The following is a 19,776-nucleotide window of genomic DNA, read 5'->3' on the forward strand; positions in this document are numbered from 1 at the left end:
TATCCTACCACTGCGCTTTGCACATAAAGGCTCTATAAATGTCAGCTGTCATCATAAAGAGCCAAAAGTGGCATTTGGAGTAAATCTGATTTGTTTTTAAGAGATAGGGTTTTGCTGTGTCACCCGGGCTGGAGTGCAGTGGCATAGTCAAAACCCACTACAGCCTCAAATTCCTGGGCTCAAGCCATCCTCTCGCCTAAGCCTCACAAGTAGCTGGGACTACAGACACACACCACCATGCCTGTCTAACGTTTACTTTTTAATTTTTTTAAGTTTTAAAATTTTCTGTAGAGATGGGGTCTTACTGTGTTGCCCAGGCTGGTCTCAAACTCCTAGCCTGAAATGATCCTTCCAACTCAGCCTCCCAAAGCACTGGGATTACAGGTGTTAGCCACCACACCCAGCCTAGTTTAATTCTTTTTTAATCATCCTTCTCTGCATTTTTGTAATTCCTCTACCATGAACCTGCTTTAGTTAAGTAAGAAACAGTTAACTGGGGGAGGAGAAATAAAACCAAACCCCTAAAAAGCCCCTAATAAACCCCTAAACGTGGGGTCCAACATGAGGTGTTATGGCTGGGAAAAGGTAAGAGATCAAACTATACACACCCTTTTTTTTTTAAATTAAACTTTTTAGTTTTTTCAGAGACAGTCTTGCTCCATTGCCCAGGCTAGAATAATGGCATGATCTCGGCTCACTGCAACCTCCGCCTCCTGGGTTCAAGCAATTCTCCTGCCTCAGCCTCCTGAGTAGCTGGAACTACAGGCACGCACCACCATGCCTGGCTTCTTTTTGTATTTTTAGTAGAGGTGGGGTTTCACCATGTTGGCCAGCCTGATCTCGAACTCCTGACCTCTGGTGATCCACCTACCTCAGCCTCCCAAACTGCTGGGATTACAGGTGTGAGCCACTGCACCAGGCCTTAATTAAACTTTTATTTTAGATTCAGGGGGTACATGTACAGGTTTGTTACATGGGTATATTGTGTGACACTGAAGTTTAGGCTATGATTGAGCTCATCACCCAAGTAGTGAGCATAGTACCCAACAGAGAGTTTTTTAGCCCTTGCCCTTCCTCTAGAAGTCCGCAGCGTCTATTGTTCCTCTCTTGATGTCAACGTGTACCCAATGTTTAGCTTCCTTTTACAAGTGAGAACATGCAGTATTTGTTTTTTTGTTTCTGTGTTGATTCACTTAGGATGAGGTCCTCCAGCTCCATTCCTGGTGTGGCAAAGGACACGACTTTGTTCCCTTTTTTATTTTTTTGACACTGTCCTTGAACTTGGTTGAGGTTTTGTTCCCTTTTATGGCTGCATACTATTCCATAGTGTATATGTACCACATTTTCATTATCCATTCCACTGCTGATGGGCACTTAGGTTGATTCCATGTCTTTCTACTGTTTTGTTTTGTTTGAGATGGAGTCTCACTCTGTCACCCAGGCTGGAGTGCAGTGGCGCAATCTCAGCTCACTGCAACCTCTGCCTCCCAGGTTCAAGCCATTCTCCTGTCTCAGCCTCCCAAGTAGCTGGGATTACAGGCATGTGCCACCATGCCTGGCTAATTTTTGTATTTTTAGTAGAGACACAGTTTTACCATGTTAGCCAGGTTGGTCTCGAACTCCTGACCTCAGGTGATCCGCCCGCCTCGGCCTCCCAAAGTGCTAGGATTACAGGCGTGAGCCACTGTGCTTGGCTGATGTCTTTCTATTGTGAATAGTGCTGTGTAGAACATATAAGTGCATGTGTCTTTTTGGTAGAAGAATTCATTTTCCTTTGGTTATATACCAAATCATGAAATTGCTAAATTGAATGGTGGTTCTGTTTTAAGTTCTTTGAGAAATCTCCAAATAGCTTTCCACAGTGGCTGAACTAATTTATATTCCCACCAACAGTGTATAAGTGTTCCCTTTTTTCCACAGCCTTGCCAACATCTGTTATTTTTTTGACTTTTTAATGACAGCCATTCTTCAGATATCAAGGGTGGGGACAAAAAAAGAAACTTAATAATCATTTTGACTAGTGTGAGATGGTATCTCACGATTTCATTTGCATTTCTCTGATGATTAGTGATGTTGAACATTTTTTCATCTTTGTTGGCCGCTTGTACATCTTCTTTTGAGAAGTGTCTGTTCATGTGCTCTATCCACTTTTTGTTGGGGTTCTTTGTTTTTTGCTTGTTGAATTGTTTAAGTTCCTTGTAGGTTCTAGCTCCTTGTAGAATTGCTAAGTTCCTTGTAGACCTTTGTTGGATTCAGAGTTCGCAAATATTTTCTCCCATTCTGTAGGTTGCCTGTTTACTCTGTTGATAGTTTCTTTTGCTGTGTAGAGGCTCTTTAGTTTAATTAGGTGTCACTTGTCAATTTTTGGTTTTGTTGCGATTGCTTTGGAGGATTTAGTCATAAATTTTTTGCCAGGGAAATGTTTTTGTTTTTTTTTTTTGAGACAGGGTCTTGCTCTGTCACCCAGGGTGTTAATAACTTAACAAACTGAGACCCCAAGAGGAAAGGTGATTCGGCCAAAGTCATACAGTAAGTTAGTGGCAGAGCCAAGACTAGAATGGTGGACTGTGGGTGTTGGAAGGGAACTTTGAGGTTGTTAGGGCAGCCTTTCCTAAGGCGAGGCCCCTCAGACAAGAAGGATTCTATTGTTAGATGTTTGAAAACTGCTGAATTAAAGAAAGCTGCACAAATTTCATTATCCGAGAACTTCTCAGAATTCTTAACACATGACAATACCTTGGCCACTCCAAGAAATGCCTGCAGTGTATAGGGCCCTGAATTAGTTTCAAGAGTCCCTTGAAGGACATTGACACCTATGCAAGCTCTCCCTGCTCTCAGACAGAGAAATGCTATATCTTAGATATACTCCTAGTTGCTTTTAAAAAATAGGATTCTAGGGCCGGGCATGGTGGCTCATGCCTGTAATCCCAGCACTTTGGGAGGTTGAGGCAGGCGGATCACGAGGTTAAGAGTTTGAGATCAGCCTGACCAACATGATGAAACTCTGTCTCTACTAAAAATACAAAAAAAATTAGCCGGGCATGGTAATTAGCCGGGCATGGTGGCATGCACCTGTAATCCTAGCTACTCAGGAGGCTGAGGCAGGAGAATTGCTTCAACCCGGGAGGCAGAGGTTGCAGTGAGCCGAGATCATGCCACTGCACTCCAGCCTGGGCAACAGACTGAGACTCTGTCTCAAAGAAAAAAATATATATATAGATTTCTAGATTTTTATCCACGGTTGCTTGTCATTGTGCAAATTGTTGTCATTGTGCAAATTGTATGATTTTTAAAATTATACTACCAAATTGTCTGTCGCTGGTATGTAGGAAGATGGTTGACTTTTTTTTATAATCTCATTTCTCCTTTTTTTAAAGTAAGAAATATTACAAATATGCAGAGAAGTATAGAGAATAATATTATGAACATTTATGTATCCACCTCTCAATTTTGTCAAATCTTACTACATGACCATGTTTTCTTTGGATGTTGTTTGTTTGTTTGTTTGTTTTAATGACAAATTAAACATTACACTTAGAGTTGAAGCCCCTTGTCTTCCTGATCCCATCACCCTGCCACCCTTATCAGTGGTGATCATGGTCACCATTTGGTATTTATCATGTGTATTTGGTATTTATCTGGTAATGTGTCATTACCAGACACATTTTCACAGTTCTACCATACGTGGCTATATAAGCAAAGTAAAATATTTTGCTTATCTGGAAAATTTATTTAAATGATATACTGTACATATCCTGCAGCAACTTCCTTTTATTACTCCTCATAATAGGTCTCTGGATCTTTTCATGATGATACAAGTTGCACCAGACCACTCATTTAAAATGCTGTGTAGGCTGGGTGCAGTGGCTCACCTGTAATTCCAACACTTTGGGAGGCCGAGGCAAGTAGATCACTTAAGCCCAGGAGTTCAAGAGCCAGCCTGGGCAACATGGTGAAACCCTGTCTCTATCAAAAAATAAAATAAAAAAGAAATAAAATAGATAAAATGCTGTGTATCCATGAAGTACTATACAGTCATAAAAAAGAATGAAATCATGTCCTCTGCAGCAACATGGATATGGCTGGAAACCATTATCCGAAGCAAACTAATGCAGAAACAGAAATTCAAATAACATATGTTCTCACCTATACGTGGGGGCTAAACCTTGGGTACACATGGACATAAAGATGGGAACAATAGGCACTGGAGAAACCAAAGGGGTTAGAGAGGGAGGGGGCAAATGTTGAAAAACTACCTATTGGGTACCATGCTCATTACCTGGGTGATGAATTCATTCATACTGGAAACCCCAGCATCATGCAATATACCTTTGTAACAAACCTATACGTGTACCTCCTGATTCGAAAATAAAAGTTGAAATAACGGGCCAGGCAATGTTTAAAAACACATGCAGCCGGGCGCGGTAGCTCATGCCTGTAATCCAAGCACTTTGGGAGGCCGAGGCGGGTGGATCACTTGAGATCAGGAGTTCGAGACAAGCCTGGGCAACATGGTGAAACCCTATCTCTATTGAAAATATAAAAATTAACCAGGCCTGGTGGTGGGCACCTGTAATCCCAGCCACTTGGGAGGCTGAGGCATGAGAATCGCTTAAACCTGGGAGGCAGGTAAAAAAAACAAAGTTGAAATAACAAAAAATAAAATAAAAGTGTCTGTAAATATCCTGAGTATATTTATTCTGTTTTGTTTATTTGTTTGTTTTGAGATGGAGTCTCACTCTGTTACTCAGGCTGGAGTGCAGTTGCACGATCTTGGCTCACTATCTCAGATGATGCTCCAAAGACTATTCTTATACCTGTGGATGAGAGTTTCTCTAGGTAACATGCAGAGATGGAATTTCTGTATCTTAGACAGTGGATATCAACACTTTTAAGAGATGTTGCTAAATTGCTCATTCTTGAATGCCAACTTCCACTTCCAACAATAGTTACAGAGTTTTGGTTGCTCTACAACCTCATCAGCACTTGATTTTGTAAGATACTGAATGTAAAATTATGCTTCACTTTCAAATTTACATTTCCTCTATTACTAGAGAAGGAGAGGCTCTTTTGCCATTTGAGCTTCCTACATTATGAGTGTGCTTGTTTGTATCCTTTGACCATTTATCTATTGTATTATTTACCTTTCCTTATCAATTTGTAGGCATTTTTTAGCACTCTTAGAAACATCTTTTATGCATGTATTTTTTTTTTTTTTTGAAACAGAGTCTTACTCTGTCGCCCGGCTGGAGTGCAGTGGCGTGATCTCGGCTCACTACAACCTCCACCTCCCAGGTTCAAGTGATTTTTCTGCCTCAGCCTCCCGAGTAGCTGGGGTTACAGGCATGCACCGCCGCACCCAGCTGATTTTTGTATTTTTAGTAGAGACAGGGTTTCACTATGTTGCCCAGGCTGGTCTTGAACACCTGACCAAAGGTGATCCATCCACCTCAGCCTCCCAAAGTGCTGGGATTACAGGTGTGAGCCACCACGCCCAGCCGACCATTTTTAAACGTACAGTTCAGAGACATTAAATATATTCACATTGTAATACAACCATCAGCACCATCCATCACCTGAACTTTTTTCATCTTCCCACACTGAAACTGTACCCATTAGAAAATAGCTCCCCTTGGGAGGCTAACATGGAGAAACCTCGTCTCTACTAAAAATACAAAATAAATACTAAAAATACAAAAAAATTAGCCGGGCGTGGTGGTGCGTGCCTGTAATCCCAGGTACTCAGGAGGCTGAGGCAGGAGACTCGCTTGAACCCGGGAAGTGGAGGTTGCAGTGAGCCGAGATCGCACCACTGCACTCCAGCCTGGGCCACAGAGAGAGACCCCGTCTCAAAAAAAAAAAAAAAAGAAAAGAAAAGAAAAGAAAATAGTTCTCCTTTCTTCCCAGGCCCTGGCAAACCCCTTCTACTTTCTGTCTCTGTGAATTTGACTACTTTCCTGTAGGCTAGTGGAATCATACAGTATTTGTTCTTTGTGACTAGCTTTTCCCCTAGCATAATGCCCTCAGGATCCATCCATGTTGTAGCATGTGTCAGAATTTCCATCCTTTTTAAGGCTGAATAATATTCCATTGTATGCATATACCACATTTTATTGATCCATTCATCCATTGATTGACACTTGGGTTGCCTGTACCTTTTGGCTATTATGAATAATGCTGCTATGAACTTGAGTATACAAATCTCTCTTCCAGATGCTACTTTTGGTTCTTTTGGGTATATACTCGGGAGTACAATTGCTAGATCATATGATAGTTCTATTTTTCATTTTTTAGGAAGCCGCCATACTGCTTGCCACAGAAGCTGCACTATTTTACGTTCCCACCAGCAGTGATAGGAACGTAAAAGGGTTACAATTTCTCCACATCTTCACCAACACTTACTATTGTCTGTTTTGTTGTTGTTTTATAATATCCATCCTAATGGGTGTGAGGTGGTCTCTTATTGTGTGTTTTGTTTGTTTGTTTGTCTTGGTTTTTTTTGGAGACATAGTCTTGCTCTGTCGCCCAGGCTGGAGTGCAGTAGTGCAGTCTCAGCTCACTGCAAACTTCTCCTCCAGGGTTCAAGCGATTCTCCTGCTTCAGCCTCCCAGGTAGCTGAGATTACAGGCATGTGCCATCACACCCGGATAATTTTTCTTTTCCTTTTTTTTTTTTTTTTTTTTTGAGACAGAGTCTCACTGTGTGGCACAGACTGGGGTGCAGTGGCGCGATCTTGGCTCACTGCAACCTCTGCCTCCCAGGTTCAAGCGATTCTCCTACCTCAGCCTCCTGAGTAGCTGGGATTACAGATGCATGCCACCATGCCCGGCTAATTTTTGTATTTTTAGTAGAGATGGGGTTTCACCATGCTGGCCAGGCTGGTCTTGAACTCCTGACCTCGTGATCCGCCCGCCTTGGCCTCCCAAAGTGCTGGGATTACAGGCGTGAGCCACTGTGCCTGGCCCACACCCAGATAATTTTTATATTGTTTAGTAGATTTGGGATTTTGCCATGTTGGCCAGGCTGGTCTCAAACTCCTGACCTCAAGTGATCCACTTGCCCTGGCCTCCCAAAGTGCTGGGATTACAGGCATGAGCCACTGTGCCCAGCCTCTTATTGCAGTTTTGATTTGCACTTCCCTAATGATTAGTGATGTTAAGTATCTTTTTATGTGCTTAATGGTTATTTGTATATCTTCCTTGGAGAAATGCCTATTCAAGTCCTTTGCCAATTTTTTTGTTTTCTTGAGACAGGTCTTGCTCTGTCACCCAGGCTAGAGTGCAGCAGCAGGATCGTGGCTCACCACAGCCTCAAACTCCTTGACTCAAGTGGTCCTCCCACCTCGGCCTCCCAAGTAAGCTGGGACTACAGGTGTGCAGCATGCCTGGCTAATTTTTAAATTTTTCTGTAGAGACAAAGTTTCACTATGTTGCCCAGGCTGGTCTTAAACTCCTGAGCTCAAGCAATCCTCCTGCCTCTGCCTCACAAAGTGGTGAGATTACAGACTTGAGCCACTACACCTGGCCTCTTTGTCCATTTTTAAAGTTTTTGGTTGTTGTTATTGAGTTGTAAGAGTTCTTTATATATTTCGGACATTAACCCCTTATCAGATATATGATTGGCAAATATTTTCTCCCATTCTGTAAGTTGCTTTTTCACTCAGTCAAGTGTCCTTTGGTGCACAAATTTTTCTAATTTTGATGTAGTCCAATTTATCTAATTTTTAAAAATTTCCTGTGCTTTTGGTGTCATATCCAAGAAATCATCACCAAATCTAATATCATGAAGCTTTTCCCTTATGTTTTATTCCAAAGGTTTTATACTTTTCCGTCAAACTCATTTTTAGTTAATTTTCGTATATGGTGTAAGGAAAGAGTCTGATTTCATTCTTTTGCATGTGGATATACAGTTTCCCAAACATGAATTTGGTTTTGATAGTACTTTGTTAATTAAGACTTTTGCACCTGGTAGACGCTCTTTGACCTCTAACCCACTGGAATCCTCTCACCATCCTTCCCTGACAGTTGACCATTTAGCTTGGGCTTAATACTTCCAATGACGGAATACTCACTACTTAATAAAGCAGCTTTTCCTGTGGTAGAACAATTGTATTTTATAGAAAGATCTCCATTTTGAGCCTCAAGTTTCCTCCCTGTAGCATCCACATTTTGGTCCTCGTTCATTCTCTGAAGCTGTAGGAATCAGTGAGAGCTTTTTTTTTTTTTTTTTTTGAGACAGAGTTTTACTCTGTCACCCAGGCTGGAGTGCAGTGGCACGATCTCTGCTCACTGCAACCTCCAACTCCAGGGTTCAAATGATTCTCCTGTCTCACTCTCCTGAGTAGCTGGGACTACAGGCACATGACACCACATCTGGCTTATTTTTGTATTTTTAGTAGACGGGGTTTCACCATGTTGGCCACGTGAAACTGGTCTCAAACTCCTGGCTTCAACTGATCTGCCTGCCTCAGCCCCACAAGTGCTGAGATTACAGGCGTGAGCCACTTCACCCAGCCAGTGGGCACTCTTTTCCAAAGGAAAGTACTTTGTTGCCTTTTTTTTGAGACTGAGTCTCAATCTATCACCCAGGATGGCGTGCAGCGGCACGATCTCAGCTCATTGCAACCTCTGCCTCCCAGGTTCAAGTGATTCTTGTGCCTCAGCCTCCCAAGTAGCTGGGATTACAGGTGACTGCCACCACGCCCGGCTAATTTTTGTGTTTTTAGTAGAGACAGGGTTTCACCATGTTGGTCAGGCTGGTCTGGAACTCCTGACCTCAAGTGATCCACCCACCTCAGCCTCCCAAAGTGCTGGGATTACAGGCCTGAGCCACCGCACCCGGCAGGAAAGTACTTTGAATTGAGTAAATAACGCAACTATATGCTGGGCAGCTACCTGCCAGGTTTATAAGGTTTAACACATTTACTCCACAAAGCAATCTATGAAAAGGTCCTATCATTGATTCCTATTTTATAGATGAAGCAAATAAGGCTTGAAGAGCTTATGATTTTAGCAAGGTCCAACAGCTATGTAAATGGCACCACTGATATTTCAAAGGCAATGGCCCTGACCACTCTGCTACACCACCTTTCTCTCCTCTTCTCCAATACCCAGCCCAAAACTCTTTTGGATCTTTGATTATTCTTCAAGGGGCATAGCTTTCTTTCTTTCTTTCTTTCTTTTTTTTTTTTGAGACGAACTCTCGCTCTGCTGCCGGGCTAGAGTGCGGTGGCGAGATCTCGGCTCACTGCACCCTCCGCCTCCCAGGTTCAAGCAATTCTCCTGCCTCAGCCTCCCAAGTAGCTGGGACTACAGGTGCGTACCACTACGCAAGGCTAATTTTTGTATTTTTAGTAGAGATGGAGTTTCACCATGTTGGCCAACATGATCTCGATCTCTTGACCTCGTGATCCGCCCGCCTTGGCCTCCCAAAGCGCCAGGATTACAGGCATGAGCCATGCCGCTGCACTCGGCCTAAGGGGCATAGCTTTCTCATCCTCTGCCATCCTAGGAAAATTTTAAGTATTCATATTAAAATGAAAACTAAACACAATTGTCCATATATGCTCCTTAGGAGTAGAATGCCAAGGACCTCTTAGCTCCTCTGACCTGGGAACTACATTCTCTCTAATGATACATACGACTGGGTTAGAGGTTTGGGCAGCTGCCACCAAGTAAAACCTCTAGAATTTTGCTATGTCACTTTCTGCTAAGGTAGCTTTTCCCATCTACACTAAATAAATAAATCATCCAGGTGATTTATTTTTAACCAATGCAGAGGATTTTTTACTTATCTCCATGGAGTTCAAACATTTCTCCAGGCTGGGTGGGGTGACTCACGTCTGTAATCCCAACACTTTGAAGACTAAGAAGGGGCAGATTGCTTGAACCCAAGAGTTCCAGACCAGCCTGGGCAACATGGTGAAATCCCATATCTACAAAATATAGAAAAATTAGCCAGGGGTGGTGGTCCACACATGTAGTCCCAGCTACTCTGGAGGCTGAGGTAGGAGGATCATCTGAGCCTGGAGACTTGGAGGCTGCAGTGAGCTGTGATGGCGCCACTGCACTCCAGCCTGAGTGACAGAGACCCTGTCTCAAAAAAAACAAACAATAATTCACCAAATCTATTTGGATCTGGATCCTGCCATCATTTTATAGGTAATGCCTCCATAGCACTCACTAAGTGCCAGGCACACTTCTAAGCCCTTTTTATACATTAACACAAATAATCCCCACCACGACCTAATGCCATACACATCATTATGGTCACTATTTTGCAAATAAGAAAACAGTCACAGAGCAGTTCAGTAACTTGTCCAGGGTCACACAGCTAGTCCATGACTGAACCAGAATTTAAGCCCAGGATGTCAAGTTCCAGAATTGGTACACTCAGCCTCAATACTGTGCTGCCTTCAAATATTCTGACAATCTTAGACAGCTTTGGGGATCCAAAAGATTGAGAAGTACTCTTGGGGACCTCTTTTTTTTTTTTTTTTTTAAATACGGAGTCTCAACTCTCTCCCCCAGGCTGGAGTGCAGTGGTACAATCTCAGCTCACTGCAACCTCCGCCTCCTGGGTTCAAGTGATTCTCCTGCCTCAGCCTCCCAAGAGGCTGGGATATTACAGGCACATGCCATCATGCCCAGCTAATTTTTGCATTTTAAGTAGAGACAGGATATCACCATGTTGGCTAGGGTGGTCTTGAACTCCTGACCTCAAGTGATCTGCCCACCTCAGCCCCCCAAACTGCTGGGATTACAGGCATGAGCCACCGCACCTGGCTCCCATTTTTTTTTTAAGACGGAGTTTCACTCTTGTTGCCCAGGCTGGAGTGCAATGGAGCGATCTCGGCTCACTGCAACCTCCGCCTCCCAGGTTCAAGCAATTCTCCTGTCTCAGCCTCCTGAGTAGCTGGGATTACAGGCACATGCCACCACACCCGGCTAATTTTTGTATTTTTAGTAGAGATGGGGTTTCCTCATATTGGTCAGGCTGGTCTCGAACTCCTGACCTCAGGTGATCTTCCCACCTCGGCCTCCCAAATTCCTGGGATTACAGGTGTGAGCCATCACGCCTGGCCCCTGGCTCCTTTTTTTTTTTTTTTTTTTTTTTTTTAAATAAAGACCAAAGGTCCAGAGGCTTTGAAAGGCAAATAGTATTAAGTCAGGATTTGATATCAGGATTTCTTTCATTCTGTTTATTTTCTCATTGCTTTCTACTTATGATACTGTTTCATTTGGTAGTAATAATATTTCTTTCTAAAATAAATTGAAGTAAAAAGAAGTGAGTTGATGTAAGAAAAATGTTACAGATATGAAAAAATCATAATGGTCATTAAAAAATTAGTGAAACTTTGGAAAGACTGTGTTCAGTCAAGTGAAGTGAAGTTAGCTTGCAACCACAAAAAAACCCCTAAGTCTCAATGGTTTGAACAGCAAAGTTAATTGCTCACCTATAGTACACGCCCAGCATGGGTCGGCAGGGGGCGCTCCGCGTTGTGGAACGATTCATATCTATACTTGCTTCCCCAACAAGGGCAGCACTGGCCTTTAAAGCTTCTGCCCAGGTGTGACACAGGTTGTTTCTGCTCACATCTCGTTACCTGAAACAAGTAACATGGTCACATCTCATTTCAAAGGAAGCAAGAAAATGTAATCCCCATCATGTGCCGGAAAGGAGAGAAATAGAATAGTTGAGAACAGCCCTCAGAGAGACTATAAGTAAGGGGGCATAAAAGATGGGTCTAGAGAGATAGGCTGAGTCATGACTCACTGAATTTGTCTGACGTAGATCATGATGGCCCATCCCACCAAGTGGCCAACATTTGTTCCCAGAAAAGGGAGTGTGATGATCCCCCAGAAAGAACACAGTCTGACAACATTATTCTGATGAGCAGACACACCTCTCAGGCTGCCACTCAGGAGTCCTTTTGGGTGGGGAGGTGGGGATGCTGATATTTCCTAAGTGGTTTCAGCTGAACTCTGTGATCTTTTTTTTTTTTTTTTTTTTTTTTTTTTGCCTATTCCCTGAAGGGAGATGAGGCAATTTGGGCTTTGGCTGAGCTAGGGTTTGGTTCTGTCACCACTTGCTATCTAGGGAAGGGTAATAATTGGAAAGGAGAGGAATTCAAGGAGAGGGTCCAGGTGGGTAGGGAGCCTCACACAGGGTTTGGTGATCAGGTGATTGAGAGGCCTCCTTGAGGAGTTTTCAAAGTGCGGTCTGAGGGCACCTGGTATCAGAAGTGCCCAGAAGCTCATTAAACACTTGGGCCAGGTGCTCCATGGCTCCTGCCTTTAATCCCAGCACTTTGGGAGGCTGATTTGCTTGAGGCTGGGGTTCAAGACAAGCCTGGACAACATAGCAAGACACCTCCCCCCGTCTCTATTTTTTAATTAATTAATTTGTTTGTTTATTAATTTATGGACTCTCACTCTGTCGCCCAGGCTGGAGTGTAGTGGCCTGATCTCTTCTCACTGCAACCTCCGCCTCCCAGGTTCAAGCAATTCTCCTGCCCCAGCCTCCCAAGTAGCTGAAATTACAGGCATGCACCACCACACCCAGCTAGTTTTTGTACTTTTAGTAGAGACAAGGTTTCACCATGTTGGCCAGGCTGGTCTTGAATTCTTAGTCTCCAGTGATCCACCTGCCTTGGCCTCCCAAAGTGTTGGGATTACAGGCATGAGCCACCATGCCCCACCTCTATTTATTAAATATTTTCTTTTTTTTAATCTGATGACTAGGCCCACTGTTGGTCCTGGCACCTGGAGGTAGGACCCCAGGCATCTGATTTTTTTTGTTGTTTTTTTTAAGGCAGGGTCTCGCTCTGGCGCCCAGGCTGGAGTGCAGTGGCACGATCTTCACTCACTGGAACCTCCACCTCCCAGGTTCAAGCGATTCTCCTGCTTCAGCCTCCCGAGTAGCTGGGATTACAGGCATGCACCATCACGCCTGGCTAATTTTTTTTTTAATAGAGACAGGGTTTCACCATGTTGGCCAGGCTGGTCTTGAACTCCTGAACTCAGGTGATCCACCCACCTCCCAAAGTGCTGGGATTACAGGCGTGAGCCACCGTGCCCAGCCACCATCTGATTTTTTTTTTTTTTTTTTTTTTTTTGAGACAGAGTTTTGCTCTTGTTAACCAGGCTGGAGTGCAATGGCACGATCCCGGCTCACCACAACCTCTGCCTCATGGGTTTAAGTGATTTTCCTGTCTCAGCCTCCCAAGTAGCTGGGATTACAGGCATGTGCTACCACGCTCGGCTAATTTTGTATTTTTAGTAGAGACGAGGTCTCACCATGTTTGGCAGGCTGGTCTCGAACTCCTGAACTCAAGTGGTCCACCTGCCTCAGCCTCCCGAAGTGCTGGGATTACAGGTGTAAGCCACCTCGCCCAGCTGCCATCTGAATTTTTAATAATGGCCCCAGATGATTCTTATGGACACCAAGATTTGAGAAGCATTGAATGACTGAGAGAAAATTTCTTGTAAGGGTAGAAGCCCAGCACAGTGGTTCTCAGTGGAGATAATTTCAACCCCCAAGGGACATTTATAAATGTCTGGAGATAGTTTTGATTATCACACCTTGAGGGTAGGGAAAAGTGCTGCTGACATCTAGTGGCTAGAGGCCAGACATGCTGCCAGGGACAATGTACAGGACAGTCCCCACGACAAAGAATTCTCTAGCCCAAATGTCATTAGTGCTTAGGTCAAGAAACCCTGGTTAGCCATTAAGAGTTTGAACCTTTCTAAATGTTGGAGCACATACGATTTTTAAATCTTCAATTTTTATTTTATTTTCCAAAATTTCTACTATATGCATAGAATCCTTTTCATTGAATACCTGTTACGCACCGAGCACTTGAAGTTTACATCACTATCAGTTCCTCTTGAAAGACCTTTTCAGTCATTCATCCAACAACTATCCATTAAACACTTACTAAAATGTATTCCAGGCCAGGTGTGGTGGCTCATGCCTGTAATCCCAGCACTCTGGGAGGCCGAGGTGGGTGGATCACCTGAGGTCAGGAGTTTGAGATCAGCCTGGCCAACATGGCGAAACCCCGTCTCTACTAAAAATTAAAAAATTAGCTGGGTGTGGATCCCAGCTACTCAGGAGGCTGAGGCAGGAGAATTGCTTGAACCTGGGAGGCGGAGGTTGCAGCAAGCCGAGATCGTGCCATTGCTCTCCAGCCTGAGTGACAAGAGCGAAACTTCATCTTAAAAAAAAAAAAAAAAAAAAAAAAAGAAGTATTCCAGGCAGAGGGGAAAGTATATGCAAAGGCCCCCAAGACAGGAAAGAAAAACTTTAAAATGGCTAGTATGCCTGCTGCTGATAGGGGTGGGGGCAAGTGGAATGAAATGAGGTTGGACACGGAGGGATATAAAAACAAGGGCGTGCATGGCCTCACAGTGTTAAGTGGGAGTTGTATGAGTTTTGTTATAAATGCATAGGAAGTCATAAAAATTTAAGTAGAAGAGGATCTGAGCCAATGTACATTTGTACAAGATCACCCTTGGCCCCTGAGTGAAGAGTAGGGGGTAGGGAAGCCACAGGAGAAAAAGTGAAGGGGTGGGGTGGAGGCAGGCGGGGGGGGGGGGAGGCGGGGGGGGCGGTGGAGCGGGGGAGATCCCCTCCCCAACCCTGGCAGGTTTAAAAAAAAAAAAAGGGAAGAAGTGAAAAGACTTTTGCAGACCTCCAGAGATGATGCATAAGGTTGGCTGGGGTGGAGATGGAAAGATGGAAAATCTAGATTCTGTTTGGAGGGTGGCAAGAACTGGATTTTCTGATGAACTGGAAGGCATGAGAAACACAACACAAAGATTGTGACTTGCAAGATGTTGGCTTGAATAATTGAGAGAAGGTGGGTGATGATATATGACATGTAGATATGACTATCATTCTCTTTTGACGACTGAGGAAGGGGAGGTGAGTCGTCCTACTTCACAAAGATAGTATATGGGCTCCAGGTGTGTCTAACCCAAAGGTTATAATTTTTCCACACTCCTATATCCACACATTAATTTTTTTTTTTAAATTGAGACAGAGTCTCACTCTATCACCCAGGCTGGAGTGCAGTGGCGCCATCGTGGCTCACTGCAGCCTCCAACTCCTGGGATCCAGCGATCCTCCCACCTTGGCCACCTAAAGCTGGAGTTACAGGCATGCACCATCACGCCCTGCCTATCTTAATTTTCATAATGGGTATGACATTTACTGATAGTAATATCATTATACATGCCCCATACATGCTAACATCTGCTTCCACATGGAAGCAGCACAAAGCCTGGAACCTTCCTCAAAGACCCCCCCCACCCCCGTACATTGGAACAAGGTGCTGGGAACAGAAGTTTAGTAGGTGGTGGAAGGGCAGCGGCTGCTACCCTGGGAACTGGTTTTAAAATCTTACGTTCTGATTGCTGCCGTGGCCATGTGCTGGTGTGTGATGGGGAGATGTTCTTTTAGGTAACTAAATCCAACGAGCTGTGATTGGTGATCGAACCGAGCAGGCCTCCTCTGGATTTGGAGAGACATAGTGCGTCTGGGCCTGTGATTGGCGGGATTGCTGTGATTGGTGAAGTCCCTAAGGCTATCTAAGTTTCTGAACACCAGTTCCTGCGTTGGCCACGAGGAGGAGCCCAGGAAGCGCAAAGCGCAGCACTGCGGAGAGTCTTGGCCGCCTCCTCCGGGACGCCCTCCGGCCCAGCGCGGTGCCTGCCCTGCCCTGCGCCCTGGGGCAACCGCGGGATGAGGTGGGGCGGCAAAGGGTGTCAGGGCTCCCAGCTGCGGCCCGGGTGGCCACGCTTCTCTGCACAGTTCCTTTGGCCTCTTCCCCTGGCTCCCAGCCCCACAGAAGACATTGGCTGACCCGAGGGGTGGGGCTGCGGGTTCGCGAAGGTTTGTGAAGGCCCAGATCCAAGTTGCAAAACTGTGGAGTCTATCAAGTGAGACTTAGCAGCCCCACTCCCTCAGGTGCGCCCCTTGCCCTCCTCAGAGTCCTTCTCTCAAGTTTAGCAGCCTCCACCGTGCCCTTTAAGATCCTCAAAGAACTTTTGCAAAGTGGCATCTCATTGGAGCTAAAATGACCTGTGCAGGCAAAGGCCACTAGCTCAGGGGATCGTCCTGCCCATCCCCAGGTGCTATCACATCGCGCTGTGCGTCTTCACTGCACTTAACCACTGTTTGTAATTGACTTCGTTTTTCATGTATTTACTTGCTTATGTCTGCAACCCGCCTCTCCACCAAAACGCAAGCTCTGTGAGGGAGGGTGTAGGGTTGCCCGACACAACACAGGACACCCAGTTTCATATGAGTGTCAGATGAACACCACAGTTTAAAAGTATAAGCAGGTCCCATGCATTATTTGGGACACGCTCATACTAACGAAGTATTTCTTGTGTATCTTAAATTCACATTTGACTGGGCATCCTGTATTTTTATTTGCTCATCTGCACCCCTCTGAGGGGGATATTTTGCCCATGGTCTTCCCTGCTGCATCTCCACCACCCACAACGATGCACGCAGAAGGTGCTGAATAAATGTTGACTGTTTCGATGGACGATTTCCATCCTTTATTCACTCAGTTATTCATCCAGCCTATTTATATCAAGTGGGTCCTGGGAATACAATGGTAGATGGGACACAGTCCAGTGGAGGAGGCACACAACCAGTCTAATTACCATCTGACTAAACGATGATGATGTAAAGCTTTGGGGGCTATGGGGGGACAGAGGAGGACCCCGGCGTTCTGTTTCCCGGAGGAAGATGACTAAGATGGGACTTGGAGGATGAGAAGGCAAAGAAGGAAGTGCGACAGCTCTCTGCTTGAGACCACGGGGTTCTGGAAGCTGCAGGGGGCTGGGGAGGGCAAATGTGCAGTGTGGGCGTGGCAGTCAGGAAAAGGTGAGAAGGAGACTCACATTCACTGGATGTTACTACCCACCAGCCAGCACAAGAGGGATGCCATGTTGCTATTATTGTGCCCATCATACAGATGAGGAAGCTGAGGCTCAGAGAAGTGAAATGCCTCGGCTAAGTTTACAGTCGTGGAGGGAAAAGCTGAGCTTCAAGCTCAGGTCTGGCAGACTCTGAAGCCTGCACTCTTCTAGAAAAGCCACTGGGTTAAGGATTACAATGCCAATAGGGGGATGGAGAAACACGCTCAGAAAGGTGATAGGGCTCTCCCTGTGAATATGGCTCTGTCCAGTTGAGCAGAATACTGAAGCAATGCAAGAGTTATGGTTTTTTCCAAGCCCTCCAGAGAGACAACAGGAGGGCCAGAGCAGGACCCAGGAGTCCAGACCACTGTGTCTCCCATTCCTATTGGGGTTGGCTCTCTAGGAGCCCCTTGCAGAGCCCTGGGGCTAATTCCTTGCATGGATCCTGGACAGGTCTGCAGTTTCCATGGAGACCGCCTCCCACCATCCCTGAAATCTCATTGTGACCAGTATTAAGGGATTAACTCTGCCCAGCGGCCCTCGCAGGGTCTGGGGTGCTGAGAGGGGCCAGCAGGAGCTCCCTCAAGGATGAAGAGGTTGTGCACTGTGCGGGACCCCATAGCAGCAGGAGGAGGATGTCGGACTGGGGCCAGGGCTTCCCCCAGGACCCACCAGGTATGGTCCTGACTCCACATCTGCCTGGAAGGAAGGATGGGATGGTAGGAGAGAGACACAGAACCAAGGGGGAGGATTCCAGACTGGGAGCAGTGTGGAGGATTTGTACCCTCATCCCCTAACCCAGGAACGTCCATGGCCCTGATGGGTGAATGACGTTCCAATCAGAGAAGGAGAATCCAGACGACCTCAACAAGGTGAGAGGAGCCCCGTAGAGTATTAGGGGTAGTCCAAGGCTGCCTAAAGACCAGATCTCTTATCTCTCTCATTTTGCAGTTGGGGAAACTGAGGCACGGAGAGGGAAAATGACTTGCCCAAAGCCAGTGAGTCAGCAAACTGAAGCAGGTCAAGAATCCAGAGGGAACCCTGAAGTTCCCTGAGCAGAAAACAATCGGTTAAAATCTCATTGCCACTTCTGCCTTGAACTCCAAATCCTCCTTCCTGAGCTCCAGGCATGGGGTCCCCTCCATCCCCTCACCCAGAGCTTGTCTCATCGGCCATGCTTCCCTCCCTGCCTCTCATCCTCCTCCTGACTTCCCCTGCCACCCGCACCACCTGAGGCTGGCAGAGAGTTCCTGGCAGGTTCTCCAGTGCTGACGGGCACAGCCACCAGGCCCCCACTATTCCATCCAGGGGACACCTTCCCACTGGGTCCCTATCTGGATGACTTGGGACATTCTTTGTTCTACACTTCATCCTCTCTTTGGGATTTCTGAGTCCAGACACAGTGAGGACCCCGACAGCCCCCCTCCTCACCTCTTGTCCTGGGAAGGCCAGGCCTGCATGGCAGAGATGTAACCAGACTCCAAAGCTTTCTGGGCCGGGCTTCATGGAAGGCCGTATCGGTGCAGGGGCATAAACACAAGCTCTGGAGCCAGGTAGAGATAGTTCTAACACCATTGCCTTGGCTCACTGGGAAAATGATGTTTCTTCTCTGAGCCTCAGTTTCCTCACCTGTGATGGGAGACGAGAACCCTTCCATCCTCAAAGCTTGCTCTCAGCTGCTATGGAAGCATCTCCAGGTTGTGATATTAAATGAACCAAACAAGATACAGAACAGTGTAAGAGCAGAGGCTACTCATGTATGATCTTACATGCTATCTGGTCTGTATAAAGAAACCTTGGCAGATACATCTGTAAGGGATGTGGTTCCCCATAGTGAGGAAGTCAAGGAGAACAGGTGAACAGGAGACAGCTGGAAGCAAGACTTCTCAATTTACACCTTTTATGTTTTGATTCTGAACCATGCGAATGTAGCACCAATTCAAAACTAAATGTAAAGATGTTCACAAATTAAGTAAAATATTAAATAATAATAATAACACATACCTCAATAATATGACCGGTGTGCAGTCAAGATTTAGGCCCAGGTACTAGAAATTGACTCAAAGCAACAGAGGAGGCCTGTCTTCAAGTCACCGAATCCTTGACCTAGAAAGGCCCTTTATTTTGTCAACGTCAAATTGCCCATAACAACAATAATAGTCTTGGTAGCAAGAATCAGGAGCTCCCTACTTGGGGAACATGGTGCCAAGCACTGTCTGAACATTATCTCATTTAATTGGCATTTTGATTTTGTGAGGAAACGATCATCATTCCCTCTTTACAGATGGGAAAACTGAGCCTCGCTGAGGTTTTGACTAGTAAGTTGTAGTAAGTGATAGAACTTGATGCCATCGAAGGCTTTCCAGGTTCAAATTTGAAGCCCCCCTACAGTGGGTCTCAATATTGGCTGCACAAAAATATAGACGCCTGGCACCTCCCCACCCCTACCCCAAGATTCGATCATTGATCTGTGATAGGGACTGGGCATCTGTCTTTAATTTTAAAAAATCTTTTTAAAAAATAGACATAGGGTCTCACTATGTTGCCCAGGCTGGTCTCAAACTCCTGGGTTCAAGTAAACCTCCCATCTCAGCCTCCCAAAGTGCTAGGATTATAGGTGTAAGCCACCATGTTCGGCCAACATCTGTATATTTTAAAGGTTTCAGATGATTCTATTTCATCTTCAGAGATGAGTCTCTGCTTTGTTAGACAAAACTTCTCCAATGGGAAACCAAGGCCAGGGAGGGAAATGACCTTGCCCAAGGACACACAGTGGCTGGAACCAGAGCTGGGGCAGGACACCCAGCAGCTTACATGAAGCCCTAGGGCAAATAAGAAA

General features: G+C 45.4%; 1 protein-coding gene and 1 long non-coding RNA gene across 13 annotated transcripts in view, besides 2 other annotated features; one reads left to right on the forward strand and one right to left on the reverse strand.

Annotated features, from left to right (window-relative positions):
• HNF4A (hepatocyte nuclear factor 4 alpha) overlaps nt 1-19,776 on the forward strand; it is a 78,898-nt gene that overhangs the window by 17,369 nt on the left and 41,753 nt on the right. For 3 of the 10 annotated variants that reach the window (NM_001287182.2, NM_001287183.2, NM_001287184.2), the window contains exon 2: nt 17,391-17,612. The exons of the other annotated variants lie outside the window; for them this stretch is intronic. In NM_001287182.2, coding sequence (NP_001274111.1) covers nt 17,573-17,612 — 40 coding nt within the window. In that variant the 5' untranslated portion in view covers nt 17,391-17,572. The remainder of the gene's footprint in view (nt 1-17,390; nt 17,613-19,776) is intronic. 10 annotated transcript variants of the gene reach the window in all.
• Nucleotides 1-19,776, reverse strand: part of HNF4A-AS1 (HNF4A antisense RNA 1) — a 38,963-nt gene that overhangs the window by 16,324 nt on the left and 2,863 nt on the right. For 2 of the 3 annotated variants that reach the window (NR_172878.1, NR_172879.1), the window contains exon 2: nt 11,456-11,605. This is a non-coding gene — a long non-coding RNA (HNF4A antisense RNA 1). Of the gene's footprint in view, nt 1-4,675; nt 4,818-11,455; nt 11,606-18,941; nt 19,044-19,776 lie in introns of those variants that run through there. The other variant, NR_109949.1, reaches the window with a different exon arrangement.
• Nucleotides 15,383-15,472: an enhancer, noted in NCBI's record as "active region_17923". NCBI's record gives its function as "activates an Ori minimal core promoter by ATAC-STARR-seq in GM12878 lymphoblastoid cells {active_cell/tissue: GM12878}" and the evidence as "EXISTENCE:reporter gene assay evidence [ECO:0000049][PMID:35858748]".
• Nucleotides 15,843-16,344: an enhancer, noted in NCBI's record as "H3K4me1 hESC enhancer chr20:43017550-43018051 (GRCh37/hg19 assembly coordinates)". NCBI's record gives its function as "activates a minimal SCP1, AML or CMV promoter by ChIP-STARR-seq in primed H9 embryonic stem cells {active_cell/tissue: H9 hESC(primed)}" and the evidence as "EXISTENCE:reporter gene assay evidence [ECO:0000049][PMID:30033119]".

The sequence above is a fragment of the Homo sapiens genome, chromosome 20, assembly GCF_000001405.40.
Source record: "Homo sapiens chromosome 20, GRCh38.p14 Primary Assembly".
Classification (NCBI taxonomy): domain Eukaryota; kingdom Metazoa; phylum Chordata; class Mammalia; order Primates; family Hominidae; genus Homo; species Homo sapiens.